Here is an 18,883-nt window from a genome sequence, read left to right on the forward strand (position 1 = left end):
TCCTGGCCAACATGGTGAAACCCCACCTCTACTAAAAATACAAAAATTAGCTGGGTGTAGTGGCGTGCACCTGTAGTCCCAGCTACTCGGGAGGCTGAGGCAGGAGAATCGCTTGAACCCAGGAGGCGGAGGTTGCAGTGAGCCGAGATCATGCCACTGCACCACTGCACTTCCGCCTGGCGACAGAGCGAGACTTCATCTCAAAAAAAAAAAAAGAAAGAAAAAGAAAGTCTGTTGTTTAGTGTAGCCACCTTCATCAGTGATCTTAGCTAGATCTGAATAACTTGCTGCAGCTTCTCCATTAGCAGTTGCTGCTTCACCTTGTACTTTTATGTTTTGGAGACAGCTTATTTCCTTAAACTTCATGAACCAACCGCTGGTAACTTGTAACTTTTCTTCTGCAGCTTCCTCGTTTCTCTCAGCCTTCATAGAATTGAAGAGGCCTTGCCCTGGATTAGGCTTTGGCTTAAGGGAATGTTGTGGCTGTTTGATCTTCTATCACTAAACCTTTCTCTATATCAGCAGCATAAGGCTATTTCAGTTTTTTATCATTCGTGTGTTCACTGGAGTAGTACTTTTAATTTTCTTCAAGAACTCTTATTTGCATTCACAACTTAGCTAACCATTTGGCAGAAGAGGCCTAGCTTTTGGCCTATCTCAGCTTTCAACATGCCTTTCTTAATGAGTTTAATAATTTTTAGCTTTGATTTAAAGTGAGAGATGTGTGATTGTTCCTTTCACTTGAACATTTAGAGGTTATTGTAAGGTTATTAACTGGCCTGATTTCAATAGTGTTTTGTCTCAGGACACAGGGAGGTCAAAGAGAGGGAGAGAGATGGAGAAATGGCTGGTTGACGGAGCAATCAGAACACACACAACATTGATTGATTAAGCTTGTCATCTTCTATGGGCATGGTTCATGGAATTCCAAAACAATTGCAATAGTAACATCAAAGACCACTGATCACAGATCATCATAACAGATAGATACAGTACTAATGAAAAAGTTTGAAATATTCTGAGAATTACCGGAAGTGACAGAGACACAAAGTGAGCACATGCTGTTGGAAAAATGAAGCCAATAGGCTTGCTCAGTGCAGTGTTGGCGCTAACCTTTGATTTGTGAAAACTGCATTATCTGTGAAGCACACTAAAATGAAGTGCAATAAAACAAGGTAAGCCTGCACAAGTTTTGTACAAACATAGGTTTTCATTTCTCTTGGGTATCCTTAGGAATGGAATTGCTGGTTCCTATGATCACTCTGTTTAATCATTTCTGAGCACTTTATTTTCTGGCACAAGAGGATTCAGGCTTATCTTGTACTTTCCCTGCCTTATCCCTGTAATTAGCCATTTTGCTAAGGAGCCCTGGTTTCTTCCAGTGGACAATGGCACTTAGACATTAAGACTTGGGTGCTGTCGGAGGGTGCGGTGGCTCACGCCTATAATCCCAGCACTTTGGGAGGCTGAGGCAGGCAGATCACCTGAGGTTGGGAGTTCGAGACCAGCCCGACCAACATGCTGAAACCCCGTCTCTACTAAACATACAAAATTAGCCGGGCGTTGTGGCACATGCCTGTAATCCCAGCTACTCAGGATGCTGAGGCAGGAGAATCGCTTGAACCCGGGAGGCAGAGGTTGAAGTGAGCCAAGGTCATGCCATTGCACTCCAACCTGGGCAGCAAGAATGAAACTCCTTCTCAAAAAAAAAAAAAAAAAAAAAAGACTTGGGTGCTATCAAAGCATGATGTAAGCTGATTTAAAAAAAAAAAGGCGCTGGGCGTGGTGGTTCATGCCTGTAATCCCAGCACTTTGGGAGGCTGAAGCGTGTGGATCACGGGTGGATCAAGAGATAGAGACCATCCTGGCCAACAGGGTGAAACCCCGTATCTACTAAAAATATAAAAATTAGCCGGGCTTGGTGGCAGATTCCTGTAATCCCAGCTACTCGGGAGGCTGAGGCAGGAGAATCACTTAAACCAGGGAGGTGGAGGTTGCAGTGAGCCGAGATTGTGCCACCACACTCCAGCTGGTGACAAAGTGAGACTCCATCTCAAAAAAAAAAAAAAAAGGCTTGGGTGCTAACTACACTCATTATTATTAATATGTCATGGCTCCCAGGCCCTCTCAATGGATAAAGCCAGAAAATATCTGTATGTATACACATAAGTATACACACATTGACACATGCACACACAACATAAACACATACATACATGCATTTGCATCAATATTTATTTCTACACCTGGCTATTTTGTTTATTCTTGTTTCGTAGAGATGGGATCTCACTATGTTACCCAAGATGGTCTCAAATGCCTGGTCTCAAGTGATCCTCCCACCTCGGTCTCCCAAAGTGTTGGGATTATAGGCATGAGCCACTGCACCCAGCCTCTACATCTCTCCATGTATTTTGGAAATAATGAGTTCTTCCCATTACCTCCAATTCCAATCCAGGTGTATAGGATTACAGGTGAGAACATCAGAGAGTTCATTCTTGTTTCCTCCTCCTCTTCTCTTCTCTTCTCTTCTCTTCTCTTTTCTTTCGAGATAGGGTCTCACTCTGTCACTCAGGCTGGAATGCAGTGGCCTGATCATGCCTCACCTCAGCTTTGACCTCTTGGGCTCAAGCGATCCTCCCACCTCAGCCTTCTGAGTAGCTGAGACTACAGGAACGTACCCCTGCGTCCAGCAAATTTTTTGTATTGTTTGTAGAGACAAGGTCTCACCACATTGCCCAGGCTGGTCTTGAACTCTTAGGCTCAAATGATCTGCCCATCTTGGCCTCCCAGAGTGTTGGGATTACAGGCATAGGCCCCTGCACCCAGGCTTCTTTTCCATATTATAATTCTCTTTGCCAACAGTGAGAAACCTAGCTCACTTTTTCTCACTGGGTCAGTTCTACTGAATATAACTGTTCTGCAGTGGGCAGGTCCAGGCAAACCTATCCCCAAAGGTAATGAAGCTATTCCCAAAAGTGAGGAAGCTGAGAGGCTAAAGAAAGAGGCTGACAAACCCAGTTTCTCAGAAAGAAACATTTAACAAGGAATTAAAACGAGAAGTCACGTCTGACATCAGCAAGCAAAATGGCGGATCCCCACACTGTTGCCCCCCAACCCCAGGGCTTGTATACCACAGGGCGGCAATGTTAGGACAGTTGAAATCGGCCCCCTGGGGAAAGGCAAGAATGCTATGTGCAGATGCCTAAGGGCAAGATTTAGCTAACAGTAGTTAAAGTAGATATCTTAGACGCATCCCTGGAACTGGGGTTACTCAGAAGTCAACATGGCAGATTAGTATCCAAGATGGATTTGCTTTAGCCTCCACGGCAACCGATATCCCATGCCCTCCACCCCACCCAGACCCTCCTCAGCGATCCTGGGCTCTGACACCCTGCCCTGGGCCAGCCTACAACATGGATGCCTCTTTGTCCCTCAGACTCCAGCATGCCACGTCTTTACCCACACGGAAGCAACCCTCAGCCTTCGTGGGCTCTGACACTCTGCCTGGGGCCACCCTACCCTCACCTCCCCACATGGACGTGCTCCTCCACTCAGGCTCTGAGGTTGCACATCGAGCTCCCCCTGGATGCCCTGCCCACTCCTGCAGGAATGCCCTTCTCATCCCCCTTGAACTCCCCTTCTTGGGGCTTGGCCACTACCCTGGCCAGATGCCCTCTTCACCTTTCTCATGACTCACTCTCCCTTGCTGAGCTGGGACCCAAGTGGACATCCTCCCTACCTTGCTTGGGTTTTAACATCCCACACTGGGCTGCCCTCCCACTTGGATGTCCTCCTCTGTCCCTCTTTCTCCTGCTCTGGCCACCCCCAACATCGGCAACACCCTCCTCACTTAACTTGAGCTCCAGAACCATTTGCTGAGCCACTGCATCTCCCATCCACCCTACCCCTGGGGACCCCTGCTTACTCCACCCTCCCCAATATCTTCTGGACTGAATTGTTTTTGTTTTGTTGTGTTTAATGTCAACCAGAAGACTGAATTGTTTTTGAAGGGAAGGAAAGGAAAAGAAACGGAAGAAGAAAAAGGAGGAGGAGGGGAAGAAGAGGAGGAGAAAGAAGAAGGAAAAGGAAGAAGAAATAGAGAAGAAAACGGAGGAGAGGAGGAAGAAGGTGGGGAAGAAAGAGGAGGAGGAAGAGGAAGAGAGCTGCCTGGCCAAATTTTGTGGAATGTTGGATGTTGCGGGTGACAGACTGTAGAGGCTGTGGCTGATGTCATCTTCTTTCAGGGAGAATTTGATTGCCTCCTGGTAGCCAGATAGCATACAGGGAAGTCATCTTGATGCAGTGAAGCTGGTCTAGGTCCAGTTTGCCCTTATTCCTGGGTGTGGCTCTTTCCAGGGTCTCACCTGTAAGCCACATTGATGGAAGTAGAGACCGTGCTTGCAAAAAAAATTGAGGCTGGGGTGGGGAGGAGAGAGCCCAGAGGTGATCTGGGGGCTCAGGAGCGCAGGATGGTGGGGGGACACTAGTGTGTATTTGTCGGTGGATGGGAAGGAAGTTCATCAAGTGGGAGGTGGAGGCAGCCCAGGGAGAACAGGGACTGTGGGTGGCAGAGCAGGAGGGTAGGGCCCTCTGAGCCTGGGGGACAGCAGGGGTTGCAGGTGGGGGTGGGGGGAAGCCAGCAAGCTTGCTTGTTGGGGGTATAGGATTGTGGTAGGGTCCTGCCTACCTCCCTGTGGAGAAGCTGGAGAGGGGCAGGGCAGCCCCGGTGGTGTGGGCAGATGGAGAAGGGATGGGATGCAGTGAGGGACTGGGGCTCAGGTGGAGGAGGGGGCCAAATGTGGGGAAGAGGCTCAGTGAAGGGAGGGACCCTCCGCGGGGAAAGAGTTCAGTGAGAAGAGCGGGAGGCGTCATGGAGGCCCCATCTCTTTATCTAGCTGGGGCCATCTGAGAGCAGTGACTGTACCCCCATCCAACTCTGTCCCTCCCCCGCAACATGGAGGCCCCAGCCCAAGACTTGCAGTGGGGAGTGGGGGGGCAGCCTCCAGTGTTTGTTCTTGTCCAAGGCTGGGGTGGGGAGCAATAAGCCAAGGCCCCAGACTTTCCGCCTCATGGTGGGTGTGGGCCAGGGAGGTCCTGCACCCACTGCCCGCCCTCTAACCAGGGGGCTGAGACTTTCGCCCCTGGGTGCTGGTGCCTAGGAATGGAGGCAGGGAAAGGGCTGGGGGCTCACTCTCCCCTCCCTCCATGCACTGCAGGGGCAGGCAGTGGGACAGGCAGTCGAGCTGGATTTGTTTCTCATTCGCTCTTGGCTCCTCTGGTGGAAAAATCGAAGCGCTCCCCCTGGTACTGCTGAGGCGGAGAGGGTGAGCGTGGCTGGGAGGCTGTCCTGGCAGGGAAGTCCAGGGGCAGGCGGGGCCTGGCCGGGGAGAGGCTGCCCCCTGCTCACAACCCCCTTCCCAGCCCTCTTACTTCGACGTGGCTCTCTAGGCCCAGTGGGAAGTCCTGCCTCAGCTGAAGTGGAGGGGCCGGGCCAGGGAGGAGGTCGGACTGGGCTTGGGTTCAGCCTCAGGCTCGTAGCACCCTCCTTCCCTGGGCCTGTCTCTAGAGCAGTCTCCCAAGGGTGATTTAAAATCCCCCGAGGGTCTTCCAAGGAAGTGCTGTCAAGCTGCAGCAGGAGGGGGCCGAGTCAGACCTGGGACAGGCTTTCTCAGCATTCAGACTTTGCCTAAGTGGGAGGTGAGCTGTGTACTAGGAGGGGAGGGTTCCACAGGCAACTGCTGGATATTTCCTGAACATCCAGGGACATGAGAAGCCTTTTCTGTACATCATCCCATGTGGCCCTCACAGACACCCCAAGGTCAGTATTAGCCATCCCATTTACAAAAATTTTTTTAACACACACGGTTTTGCTCTGTTGCCCAGGCTCCAGTGCAGCGGCGCAGTCATAACTGAAGGCACCCTCTAACTCCTAGGCTCAAGCAATCCTCCTGCCTCAGCCTCCCAAGTACCTAAGACTACAGGCACAAGCCACCACACCTAACTCATTTATTTTTTTTGAGGAAGGGCCTCATTATGTTGTCCAGGCTAGTTTCAAATTCCTGGCCTCAAGTGATCCACCCACCTCGGCCTCCCAAAGTGCTGGGATTACAGGGGTGAGCCACCATGCCTGGCCCCATCCCATTTTACAGGTGAGGGACTTGAGGCTCCATGAAGTCAGGTGCCCCACTCAAGGGGCTACACAGCCTCTACGTGGCAGGGCTGGGATTTGAACCCAGTTGTGTCTGGCTCTTTCCCAAACACTGGAAAAGGCAGGCCTTTTTCCCCTCCACCCCAGGGCCCGGGAGCCCCTGAGCAGCTCCTGGGTGGGGCTGCCCCACAGGGAGACAGCCTTGGGGGAACCCAGGAGGTCTTTGGGCTGTGGCCTGTCTCTGTGGCACAGTGGGGTGCCTCGGGAGATCTCCCCTCCACCTACCCTCCTCTTGTGGAGTTGGACCCACCCCCACCCCATTTTTTCAGAGGGCCCTCACCCCAGCCCTCTCCATCCCGGTGGAAAGAGGAGCCCAACCTCTTTCCCTCTGGAATCCGCTGCCTCGGCTCTCCGATGGAGAGACCATCTGGAGTGCATTATGGGCAGAGGAGAAAGCCGAGAGCAGGAAAATGTGAGTTGGCCCCAGCAGCTCCCGTCTGCAGGGGGGCGGCGGGGGCTCAGGGGATGGGCCAACCGCTGCCTCCACCTCCCCAGTCCCTAGAAGGGGCAGATAAGAGATGTGCTCAGGAAAGGGTGGCCAGGAGAGGGCAGGGCCCAGGCCTCCAACACCCTTGCAGAGCCCAGTTTGAACCTGCTAATCTTGCCAACCTGCCCATTTCACAGAGAGAAGACTGAGGTCCAGAGAGGGGTAGTAACTTCCCCAGGGCCACACAGCAACCCTTTCACAAATATGCACATGCCAGTGGGCACTGAAAGTCTCCAGTGTTGGGGGCAGGCGGAGTTAGCGCTGGGAGTGGGAAAGAGGCCGGGGTCAGCCTCCAGAGTAAAGTGAAGGCGCAAAGCCTCATGCAAACATCGAGGAATGCCTTCATTGTTTCGAGGTCTCTCTTCCTGGCCTCCCAAGCCCACTCCCTGCCCCAAGTGCCACCCTTCCCTGGCACCTGATCCCTGAGGACGTTGGGTCCTGGGGTGGGGGCCTCTGGGCTCTTCCTCTGGGTCCCAGGAGCCCCCTCCCCACTCTGTGGCCCCAGCTCCAGACTTGGCAAGGCAAGCCGGAGTGAGGTTTCTCCACTCCCTCCCAAGTGCTGTGCTGGCGGCTCCCGAAATAAAAATCAAATGTGGGCTTGGCAAAGGGAGCGGGGTGGGAGAAGCAGCGGCAGCAGGGCTGGGGCTTCATTCTTTCCATTGTAACTTCACCTCCTAACCTCTGGCATTTTAATTATGTCTCCTACCCCCCTCACTCTGCCTGGGCCAGGGGGTGAGCTCACCCTTTCCTCTAGCCTGGGAGGGGGCAGCTGCTGCCTGGACCCCCAGTCCCCGGCCTGCTCGGGGGAATCTGGGTGGCGGCCATGCTGGGGGTGTCGGCCTCAGGCTCCCTCCAGCTTCTCCAGTCTCAGAGGGGCCTGGAGAGGGGCCCAGCCCCCAGACAGCCAGCCGACACCTCAAGTTCCATGTGTGAATCATTAGTCTTCACACCCACTGCTCCATTTAGTGGTGGCCACTGTCCTAAGGCAAGGCACGGCAGGCTCACCAGCCCATTCTATGGATGACTTAGCCATCATCGTCTGCAGGGCCAAGCCTGGGCCCAGGCCTATCGCTCCTGGTTCTGCACTCTTTCCAAACCCAGGAAGAGGGGCAAGAACAGCTCAGGCCTGATAATTTGCCTTATCTCTTCGAGTGTCCGTTTTTTTCCAATGGTAAGTGATGGAAAGCATTATTTTGATACTAAAACATACAAGGACATAGCATGGGGTAGGAAGTAAAATGCCTGTGAAAGTTCAAGGTAGAAAACAAATCCTCAAGGAAGATCTCGTGGGGCTCTCTGCAGGCGGGCCCCAGGGAGTAGCATCCTCCTCCTTGGCATGGCTGTGGACTGGAGTGAGATGCAGTCATATGTGTTTGTAGCCAGTTTGTGCAGACCCAAGGCTGCTGTGGAAGATGCCAGTGGGTGCTGGGTGCTGGGTGCTGGCAGGCAGCCTTGGCCCACCCCAGGATGCAGAGGCCTTCTTCCCTCCAAGGCCCACAGTGGGAGTCCTGCCGACTCTCTCCGTCTCCTGGGGAGGGAAACCTCCACAGGACAAGCAGCCTGTGTGGGGGTGGGGGCTGCCTCCACGGACAGTGCAGGCACAGGGCAACCTTGACTGTGAGCCCAGGGCCAGCACCCAACCACCCCAACTGAGGCTTCCTCTCCATCCTCTGGGAGGTCCCCCGCCACACTGCCTTAGAGGCCCAGCCCCTCGAGGAAGCCCTCAGTTTTCTTCTCTCTTGCCCTCCCAGTCTCCCCAAATGCATGTTCCATCAGCAAACTCTGCCCCAGGCCTTGCTACGGCCTCTGCTCTGGTGGAACTTCCGGATGAAGAGGGTGAGGCGCTATTTACCATACTGGGTGCTGTGATGGGGGAGATTAAGGTGACAGCAGCTCCGGGAAGGGGACTCCTGACCCAACCTCTGGTGTGAAGAGCATAGAGAAGGCTTCCCAGAGTGAGGGGTGACCAGGAGGAGCCCGGGAGGAAGAGCATGGAGGGCAGAGGGAGCAGCATTTGCAAGGCCCAGAGGTAAGACAGTGCCTAGGGCAGGGCCCACGGGAGCATCCGGCCTGGAGGGAGCGGCCAGGGTCCTGGGAGCTGCGCGAGCTGTTAGGGTGCATCTTAGGAAGATTTCTGGGCAGGCTGTGGAGGATGGGTTGGAAGGTAATCAGAACGGAGGTGGAGTGACCTCTTAGAAGGCTGCCACAGAGGCCCAGGTGAGAGGTGATGGTAGCCAGGCCCAGGCCAGTGGCAGCCAGGTGGAAAGAGGTGGCCAGACTGATAAGAGATTTAAAAGGCAGAAGCCAGAGGACTTGGTGACTGATGGGCAGAAGGATGGGGGCCAGTGATCTGCTCAGGCTGGCTCCTGGGCTTCTGAAGAATGAATGAACGAATGAATGAATGAATGAACAAACGAACTGGGAAACAGCACCAGATCTGAAAGCCCCAGGTTTCAGCTTGATCGTCGGGCTGGGGAGTTTGCTGCTGCACTTGCATTTGGTACACCTGCAGGGCATCCAAGTGGAGGTGCCCATGAGATGGCTGGACGCATGGAGGTGCCCTGGAGAAGGTGGAGAGAGAGGAAGCCGGCACAGCCTGCAAAGAGGCCAGAGAATGAGTAGCCAGAGCCCCTGAAGCCTCACAGGAGGAGGTCTTAGACAAGGCACAGCCAACAGTGCCAATGGCAAGAGATGAAGCAGGTGAGGCCCAAGAAGGGACATGTGTTCTAGGGACCCAGAGGCTTCTCCCTGTCCCCCAGCCTTTCCTTCTGTCTGTCCCCCAGCCCTTGCCCACCCCTCTACGCTCCCTCCCCCGGTCTTTCCCCTATAGTACTCTTTCTCTCGATCTCCTCCTCGTCTCTCAGACCAGAAGGCTCAACATCTTTCTAAGGGAAACTTCGTGCTACTCCCACCCCACTGGGGTCCTGGTTGCCCTCCCTAGCTTCTGAAATCACCCCCCACACCCCCAACAACCACCACATACACCTTTCACCAGAGACTCACCCAGCGCTTCCAGAAGCTGGGGCAAAGAGGAGCACACACGACCACCTGCCTACTGAGCAGCTCACACTTCCTCCAATGGAGCCACCACAAGGTACCGGCCTCCAGGGCAACTGCAGGCAATCCTGGCCCTCAGGGCCTTATGGCATAAAAGGGAGAGAAGCCATGACCCCAGCAGGCCTATGCAGACACAGTGAGAGAAGAGGCCCAGAGAAAAAGCTATGGACGTTTAGATCCAGTGGAGGGATCTGAGTGGGCTTCCTGGAGGTGACTCTGCGTAGGGCCTTGAAGGACTGGCAGGATTTAGTCATGTGGCAATGGGAGCAAAGGCAGTTGCAGGAAGAGGGAGTGCGGTGAGGAAAGGGGTGGAGGTGGGAACTGGGGCTGACACCAGGGCAGCCAGTGCTCATAGTGGCTGGTGGCTGAAGAGTGTGGCCAGAGGGGTGGGAGGCGGCAAGGTGGAGGGCCACATCACACAGGCTGGAATGCGGAAGGACTTTAGAGTTTATCCACTGCTGCCTCTTGACGTGGGGCTTTCAGATCTGGTGCTGTTTCCCAGTTCATTCATTCATTCATTCATTCAGGAAATATTGCTTGCTTGGTGCTAGACAAGTGCCGAAGATGCTGTGAGAGGCAGATAGAAGTCCCTGCTGTCACGGATCTTAAGTTCCAGGAAGAGACACAGATATAGAGTCGTGAACAAGTAAAGACTAAAAATTAAAATCATGATGGGGGATGCCATCATGACTGGCCACTCTGAAGGCCGGGCTTGTGTCCTGTCTCCCCTCAGACTGAGGGCTCCCTGAGGGCAGAGCCTGTGCCTGCTCCATCAGACAAAGGTAGAACCAGCTTCTCCATCAGGCTAGAAGCACCCTGAGACTCAGGGAGAGGCATGGAGCATCTGGGAACAAGAGCTGAGGTGTCCTAGAAACCTCCCAGGAACAGACCCAGGGATAGAAGTTGGCAGGCAACTGGCAAAGGACCCTCTTCCCAGCCAGGCCAAATGTGGGAGGGCTTCCCTCTCCTCCTCCCCATCCAGCCCCCGACCCCATTAAACCTTTAAATTAACTTCAGCTCCACCCCGAGCTATAGAGAGTGCCCCAAAATAAATCCTAAATTACATGCTGCTTGGGGGCAACCACAGTTCTCCTTCCTCCCTCTCCAGCAAGCAGACCCGCCCGACACCGTGCTGAGGGGGCTCCCCCAAAATGGGCTATTTATACAGCTCCTGCTCCCCTGTTTGCTCTCTGGCCCTGTTGTCCTTGAGTGAGGCCCAAGCAGGCTATACAGCTGTCTTGGGAGGGTGAAGGGAGTGGGAGAGGCTGTGAGCCTTGCCAGGGTCTGACTGGCCATGGGGGATGTAATTTTTAGTCCAAACTAGGATACTTTGGAGTGCTCGTAGCAGTTACACCCAGGCAATGACATAGGTCTGAACTGTCCTGGGCACACGGGGTATCTGGTCACCCAGCGATGGGGCTCAGACTCCAGCCTCTCAGCCACCCAGAGCATTGCCTTCTTGGGGATGAGAGAGACAGAGAGAGAGAGAGAGAAGAGAGAGAGAGATTGCCTTCATCCCCGTTGCTGAGACAAGCAGTTCTGAATATGGGGGCACTGGGGCTCCCATACCACCTGGCAAAGCAGAATGGGCTCTGGCTTCAAGGACTCCCAGGCACAGAGAGGTCCTGCAGGAGGGTCTGGGCAAAGAAGTGGGGAGCCGGATGTGGCTGTTTTGAGACCACAGGCTTGGGTCAGGGGCCTCCCTCTCCCTGGACAAAGCCACCTTCCATTCTGGGAAGCTGGCCCCAGATACTGGAGCTGCTCCCCTTAGGGAAAAGAGAGAGGGGGAGGGAGAGGAGAAAAGGGAGAAGAGAGTGGAAGATAGAGAAAGACAGGCACACACAAAGAAGCGGCAGAGTGAAGGACAGAGACAGAAACAGAGGTGGGCAATGACAGAGGGAGGGAGAGTGGGGAAGGGGTGCTTCCAGAGCCCCAGGATGGCAGCACCCCCTTCCTACCCACAGGGCCCGCTGTGGTAGCCCTGTGGGCTCCGCACCGCACCGCTCTCTCTGTTCTCCACCCCACCGCAGTGAAGTGGGGGCAGGGCCTCTGCTGGCTGCCCAGGAGGACACCCGCCGCTCCTCCACTGCCTCCCTCCTCAAGACTAGCAGTGGGTGGCTGGGCCCAGATGCCTGCTCCCCGGCTGCTGGCGGGCTCAGGTGTCTGCAGAGCGTCCTCCTGCTCCCTGCCATCCTTGCACGCCCCTCTATTTCAGGCAGCCTGGCCCCTGCTCAGTGCCCTCTCTGGAAGCCTGCTCCTTGGCCAGCAGACCTGGCTCCCCCAGGTCCAGCCTCTACCTGCCCGCTCCTCCCGTCCCCTTGAGGGGGCTTTGCTTCAAAGGGGTGGAGCTAGGGCTCCTCCTCCCTGTGAGGTTGCGCTGGGGGTAGGAGCCTGGAGGGGAGTCAGAGGCAGGGCTGAGGAACCAGAGGCTCCTCTCACTCTGAGTCAGTCACAGGGAGGGGAGGGTGGAGGGGGCGGCAAGGAGGTGGACCGAGAAAGAGCCGGCCACAGAGATGTCCAGGGAATGGGGCAGGGCTGGGTGGCAGCATCACAGTGTCTGGAGGGCCAGGTACACATCCAAGTGCACACCGTCATGCAGCGATTTAGAGACGGGCCCCAACCTCTGCAGGCTTCAGCCTTGGATTGTGAACAGAGGGGACACACAGCACAGGACCAGCTGACCAGATCCCAGCCACCGCTTGTTTGCACTCACAAGTAAATTGATGCCGACAACCTGGAGCGGAGGGCTGGTGGTGTGTGAGTGTGAGTATGTGTGTGTGTGTTGGGAGAATAACAGAGGATTCAACCAGTGTCACCCAAAAGGGGCAAGGACCCCGCAGCACTGGGAAAGGGTCACAAAAGCCTTCCTCGCCTTAGAGGAGTCAACATGCTGTCTTCCCAATCCAACTTGATTATCTGTCTGCTCAGCAGCCCCCATGATCCCCACCTCCCAAGAAAACACTGTTTATGGGGCCTGGGGCATCAGGCCTGTCATTTAGCTGGAGGAGGCAACCCAAGCCACAACTGGGAGCTGAGCCCTGTGTGGAGAGGCAATGCCCAGCCTGAGGCAGGCACCAGCCCAGACACTTAGTGCCCTGTTTACCCTGGCAAGGGTGGCTGGCACAGGTGGGCCTCTCCAGGGAGCAGCTGGTGGCCCTGCCAGCAGACTCCCCTGCAGGCCAGAGAGGAGGCCAGGACAGCAGCTCTCCAGGATGGGGAGGGAGGCACCTTGCCCGCCGCACACCCTGCACTGCAGTTTGCAGGGTGCCAGCCTCTGAAGCTCAGGGGTCTCCCAGCTGCCCTGCAAGGGAGACCATATGGCCCAGGGCCCAGCAGGAGAAACCACAGCTCCAGGATGCTGGACACTGGTCCCCAAGGCCCCCCAGGGGAGGCTGAAGGAAGCCCCAGGTCTTTGGGGTCCTGGTCTGATAGGCCCAGATGCCACTCAACTCCCCAGGTTTGTGGGACCCACCTTCTGCATCCAAAGGCACATGTAACTTGGCATAAACAAACACCCTTTCCCCATCACAGCCCATCACTACACAGTCGCTGTACCCACAGTCCTTCTCTATCACACAGATGGTATAGAACATGCTCCTGCACTCTGCCACACCCAACATACACATCATCCAGCACCCAGCTCACAAACGCAGCATACACACACCAGACACACAATGCTCACCCAACACAGCTCCTTCTCCACCCGCATAACCTCCACTCCAGCAGCAAGGTCACATTTGCTTGCATGCGTGCACACACGCACACGTGCGCACACACACACACAGTCCTCTGAACCAATACACTCTCCTCCCAGTGCCACACTTGAAAGTGGGCCCAAGTAGGGGCCACCATTTTAGTCCTGGGCTTCTCCCTGCCCCTCCCACTCTCCGTCCTCCCTGCCACTCTCGGTCCTCCTCCCACTTCCTCTGCCCGCCTTCCACTTTCTCCCTTTCTCTCTCTCCTAGCTGAGCCCCTGGCCCTGAGGTCTCTTTCCCAGCACATGGTGGGACACTTGAGGGCCACACATATGGGCAGCTCCCAGCAGCTATTAAATACCACTTCGCCCACCTCTGGGGTTTTGAGGGGCTGCAAATTCCGGAGGACAGGAGGCAGCAGCTGGCAGCTGCTCAGGGCCTCAGATCCCCCTGCTCACCATTCCCCCATGCACCGCCCACCCCTCCTCATTCCGGGCTGAGTCATCCCCACATCTGGAACCTCTGCACATCTGGAAGAGCTGAAGCCTGTGCAAGCAGCTCCACGTAGACACCCCCTCCCCCCTGCTCCATCTCATCCCCATCCCTGCTGGCAGTTGGGGTCCAGCATCCCCCACCTGGAGCAGGACCTCGGTTACCTAGCAGCAGGCACTGCTGGGCCAGCCTTGGGGACCAGGATTGCCCACAGGTCTCTCCCCAGTAGCAGTAACAGTGGCGTCTTGGTGCCCACCGCAGTAAGCAGGCAGGGCAGTGCTAGCCTTGGAGGAGGCCAGGCCCAAGGCTGGGGGAGGCAGGAGAGCCAGGCAGGGAGGAGGTAGTGGTTTGGCCCAGCAGGCAGAGGGAGTTTATCCTGGCACTGGGCCCTGAAGCCAAACATCCTCCACGAACCTCGCAGACACATCAAAGCCCGCAGGGAAGGGGCCCTTCCGTAGAGGAAACCTACAGTCCTGGAGGCCTGACAACCTGACTCCGGGCACAGGACCACCCTGTCCCACTCAGCAACCCAGGCTCAGGTCGGGCACAGCTGCCTGGAGTGGACAGGCAGAAAAGGACATTTCTACCCAGGGGCCCTGCCGCCTCACCCCACTCGTTCAGTGCTGCCACAGAATGAGGTTTTGCCCCCATGAGGGGGCAGAGTTGGCACCAGATTTAGCTTTAGCCCCTAGTACAGGGGTCCCTCCCAAACTGCCCCCCTCCCACCCTCCAGGCAGGGAAGGCTGATGGGGAGGGGCTCACTTTGTCTGTGCGCCACCCTTTCAGCCCCAGCCTGGAAGAGAAGTCGTGCTCAGTTGTGGGGGGATCCAGCTTCCTCCCCCAGGCTCTGATGTTCTGCAGAAGACCCCTCCACATGGACAAGAGGGAAATGGAGAGGGCAGGGGGGTTAGGGGTTGGGAGAAAAACCAAGCTTCAAAAAGTAGAAGCTGAAGTGGAATCAGAAGGCGAGAACTGGGCTGCAAGCCACAGGGCCTCTCTCTGGGGGGACAGCTGGGGCCGGAGGAGGAAGAGGGGTTGTGAGGCGCTAACAAGGGAGAGAGGAGGTGCTAACAGGGCCACTGGGGTGCGGGGATCCTGAAGCCAGCCCCCTAAAGGTTGGCCCGGAGATAAGGAAGCCAGGCACTGGCGGTGGGGTAAGGGGTGTGAGTGGGAGCTGCCAATCAACACAGGAGGCTGGGATGCTCTGCATACACACATGTGCACGTAATGTACATACATGTGCACATGCAGCTCCCACACAACCAAAGCCAAGTCTGTCCTCAGCTGGGAACCAGATGATGTGGCTGCTTAGAGGCACTATGATTTGAGGAAGAATGTGATCTCTGCCAGCCTGAATCCCTCACCCACTGCTCACACTCATTCTCTGCCTTTACAGCTTCAGGCTGGGCCTGCGCCCCACTCTAGTCTAAGCCCCAGACCATGGAAGGGCTCCCCTTCCCATGGTTGTCCTGAATCCGCAGTTCCTTTGGATCTGAAAAGTTCTTTTAGGTCTAACTACAACCCCAGTAACATTTGGGTCAGAAACAAAGGAATCCACAAGCAGGGTGCAGCAGAACCCTCTTTTCAGGAGCCAACAAGAACAGAGCTAGAAATCGAGGATACCAAATTCCTTTCTTCCGTCTGGCTACAGGATCCGGTCTCAGACAGTAGACTGAAGGAGGGGGCCCCAGAGGAAGGAGGCCAGGCATGGGGGCTCTCAAGACCCTCACGCTAGTCTTAGCTCAGTCTCTCCTGCCCAAGCCTTCATGGCTCTGCTCCATCTGCCACTCCAGAAACCAAAGCTCATCAGCTCAACCTTCCCCTAACCCTCCCCACCTGACACCCATCCAGGCTCTTTGAGGTGTTTTCCTTTCCACCCTGGCCTGTGCCCCAGAAACCTACACTTTAGAAGGATAATGGCTCCCAAATGGCGTTTTTGTCTCTGCTAAGCCTCCAGGAAAGTGAGCATCAGTGAGTCCCTCCAACCTGCTCATTGGGATAATAAGTGCCCTGCACTGTTAATTCTCAGGTGGTTTGCCCTCCCTCCACCCTCCCGGCCCACAGATTCATGGTTCAAACTTGGAGCTGACTCTAGAAGTGATCTCCTCCACCCCCATGCCCATCACCCCAAGAATGAGAAAGGGGCTGGTGGGCTTCAATTTCCAAAAAAAGTTGGAAAGGGGACTGAGGTCCCCATCCCATGGCCAAGAAGTCCTATTCTTGGACTCTGCCTCCTCCAGGAAGGCGGACCGTAAGCCAAGCATTCCTTGCTACACCCCCTTAGGAGTCGCTCAATCCCTACGGAGCCATCTTCCTCACTTGCTGAGGGGGAGTCACAAATTTGAGCATACCCTTTGGAGGGGGTGCAGGAAGCAGAAGACGTGGATTCCCCAAACCACACAGCCAGTGTGGTGGGGAGCCCAGTCAGTCTGAACTCCTCCCACCCCAACCACGAGTCCTTCACCAAGGACTTTGGAAATGAATTCCCTACCCCCTTAGAGAAATCTGGCCCCTGACCCAGGAAGGCCCCTAACCAGCTTGGATTCAACGACAACAGAGCCAGTGTTTACTTGGAACAAAGCACCAGGGGGAAATGCATGCTGAATCAGAGCTGGCCAGCCCCTGCAGCAGGGTGGGAGCATTAGGACATGTCCACACGTCTTCAAGGGAAAATGGCTAAGGGCTGTCAGAGAGGCCCAGGGAAGAGGCCTGGGTAGGGGCGAGCAGGGAGCAGACAATCACTTGTTGAAGGAAGATCCAAGTCCAGGTAGGCTTTCTGGAGGAGGTGGCATTTGGGCTGAGCTTTAAAGGATGGGGAAGAATGTGTTCGGTTTCTGGGAGGGATTTGGGGAAGAAACTAGGTGGAAAAAACTGCCTGGACAGAGGCAAGGAGAGAAGCAGAAAGAGTAAGAGGAGGGGCTGGAGAACATGGTGGGGGGTGGGGGTCAGGTGGGGACTGGTTATGGGGGACCCTGAAGGTCTCTCTGAGATGGGACTTTATTCAGGTGGCAGCAGGGAGCCTCCGATTAGGGAACAAGAGAGCGACATGCCCAACATGGCCTGTCCCTCCTTGGCAATGAGGTGACCAAGCTAGAGGCCTTGTTGAATATGGCTACGAGAGTCCTGAGGAGCCAGGCTGCACGGGGTGCCGATGGCAGTGGGGATAAAGGGAGAGGACACCTGTGACAGGCACAGCCTCCAGTCTCCATGAGCTCTCAGCCCATGTGGAGAGGCGGGCCTCCTCTGTGAAGTAGACCCAGGCAGCGCTCAGTGGGCTGTGCGGGAGTAGAAAGGGGGAACAAACTGGGAGTGGAGGGAATCACATCTCCAGTCCCAGACCACGTTCAGGAGTGGTCGGCACCTGGACGGACATCCTCTGGGATCTGTCACCAGCCCCACCTTCTCAGGCCTGACTGGCCTTAAGTGGGGCCCAGTGGACAGCAGAGGGGTTTAGTGAGCAAAGCTTCCTGGGGAAACTGGGGTTGGATGCTGCAGCCCATCCAGGGAGGTGAGCAGTCCAAAAGCAGCGAGACCCTGCACTCCTTGGCACCCCACTCTGCCTCCATGTGAAATGCAGAGAAGGAAGTATGGGCCCCTTGTCTCTGCCAGGAATGACAGCTAGCATTTATTTGCCATTACTGTATGCCAGACTCTGAGCGGCCTGTTTCATCCTCATCATGGCCTATATGATGAGGGAGGTACTGTTATCCAACTCCTCCCTCTCCTTCCTGTTGAGAGAGGCCCAGAGAAGTTCCATTTCTCGTCTAAGGTCACACAGCACAACATATTCAGTGGCACACTGACTAACACGACACAATACTGCCCCTACAGGCAGAGCCGGGCTAGAGCAGAGCATTCTGCTGGCTTTGAAAAGAGATCCCAGCCTAGTGCCATCAGCCATTACAGATATTAGTGTCCACCAAAGTATGGGGGTGGGGGGGACTGCCAAGTAAAACAGAATTCACCCTGGCTCTTCCCCTTCACCCAAGCCTGGCCCCCTGGGCTGGGCTGAGCCAGGCTAGGCGAGGCCACCCACCCTGAGTGATCCTCCATCCAGAGCAGTGGAGCAGGGCTCCCCAGGCCCGAGGTGAGTGCCACCTGTGCTGGGTGTGGCGTCTTGAGCGCTGCATGGTTCTGATCCTGACTCAGCCCCTCATGTCCTGTGCGACCTGGCCTTCCCGCTCTCCAGGCCCTGGTTGCCTCCTCTGAGAAGGGCGTAAGTGGGCCGGCTGGCCTCGGAGGCCCCTCCTTCCAGCTGGGCCCCGGCAGGATGCACAATCAGCTCATTCTTTAGTGAATGCACTGGGGGCCCAGCGAGCGTTTATGAAGACATTTCGAAGTGGCTGCTCTTGGGAAACCCCAGATGGAATTTGGTGTTGAATCTAGGGGGCCGCTGACTACATGAGGCCTCTGGGTTTCTGTGCTCGTGTATGCCTGAGCACCTGCACACGCTGCCCTCCTGGTGCTAGGTGACGTGCCAAACAGAAGATGCTGGCCTTGTCCAGGACCCTCCTTCCTCTAGAACAGCCCTTCTCTGCTCAGTCTAGGGGGGTCCATGGTGCTCCCACCCCCTTCTGACCTCACCCACCAAAAATCCGAGGGCCCTGGGGCCATGATGAATGCTAACAGGCCCTGGTGTTCTTGGCCTGGCCTGGGACCACCCACTTCCAGGCTCCTCATCTTGTCCCCATCTGCAGGAAGGAACGTAGGGCAGTTTGGTGTCATGGAACTGGGGGCCCAGCCGAGGGGCTCAAGAGCCCTTCAGACTCTGCCTGGTGAGTCAAGTGCTAAGGACCTCACTTCTTCATTGGAAGATGTGGGGTGGGGGTGGAGTTTGTTCCTAGGACATTGTAGCGATGTGGATAGCATTGCCAGATTTTGTTTTGTTTTGTTTTTCTTTTTAGAGCGAGGGTGGTGCTCTGTCACCCAGGCTGGAGTGTAGTG

The 18,883-nt window shown here is 55.6% G+C and overlaps 2 long non-coding RNA genes across 4 annotated transcripts, besides 1 other annotated feature; both read left to right on the plus strand.

Moving 5' to 3' along the window:
- The first annotated feature begins 4,090 nt into the window (after positions 1 to 4,090).
- On the plus strand, positions 4,091 to 10,367 carry LOC105371822 (uncharacterized). Of its 3 annotated transcripts, XR_007065844.1 has the most exons (6): positions 4,091 to 4,128; positions 5,217 to 5,324; positions 5,762 to 5,818; positions 9,208 to 9,395; positions 9,691 to 9,789; positions 10,280 to 10,367. It is a non-coding gene; the product is annotated as an uncharacterized LOC105371822 (long non-coding RNA). The 3 variants fall into 3 exon arrangements; XR_007065843.1 differs by lacking the exons at positions 4,091 to 4,128; positions 5,217 to 5,324; positions 5,762 to 5,818 and adding an exon at positions 8,634 to 8,724; XR_007065845.1 differs by lacking the exons at positions 4,091 to 4,128; positions 5,217 to 5,324; positions 5,762 to 5,818; positions 9,691 to 9,789 and adding an exon at positions 8,634 to 8,724 and having other exon boundaries at positions 10,280 to 10,366.
- Positions 5,208 to 5,778: an enhancer, noted in NCBI's record as "H3K4me1 hESC enhancer chr17:48335091-48335661 (GRCh37/hg19 assembly coordinates)". NCBI's record gives its function as "activates a minimal SCP1, AML or CMV promoter by ChIP-STARR-seq in primed H9 embryonic stem cells {active_cell/tissue: H9 hESC(primed)}" and the evidence as "EXISTENCE:reporter gene assay evidence [ECO:0000049][PMID:30033119]".
- LOC124904028 (uncharacterized) lies at positions 16,547 to 18,881 on the plus strand. Its single transcript, XR_007065846.1, has 3 exons — positions 16,547 to 16,706; positions 18,637 to 18,714; positions 18,844 to 18,881. It is a non-coding gene; the product is annotated as an uncharacterized LOC124904028 (long non-coding RNA).

The sequence above is a fragment of the Homo sapiens genome, chromosome 17 (assembly GCF_000001405.40).
Source record: "Homo sapiens chromosome 17, GRCh38.p14 Primary Assembly".
Taxonomy (NCBI): Eukaryota; Metazoa; Chordata; class Mammalia; order Primates; family Hominidae; genus Homo; species Homo sapiens.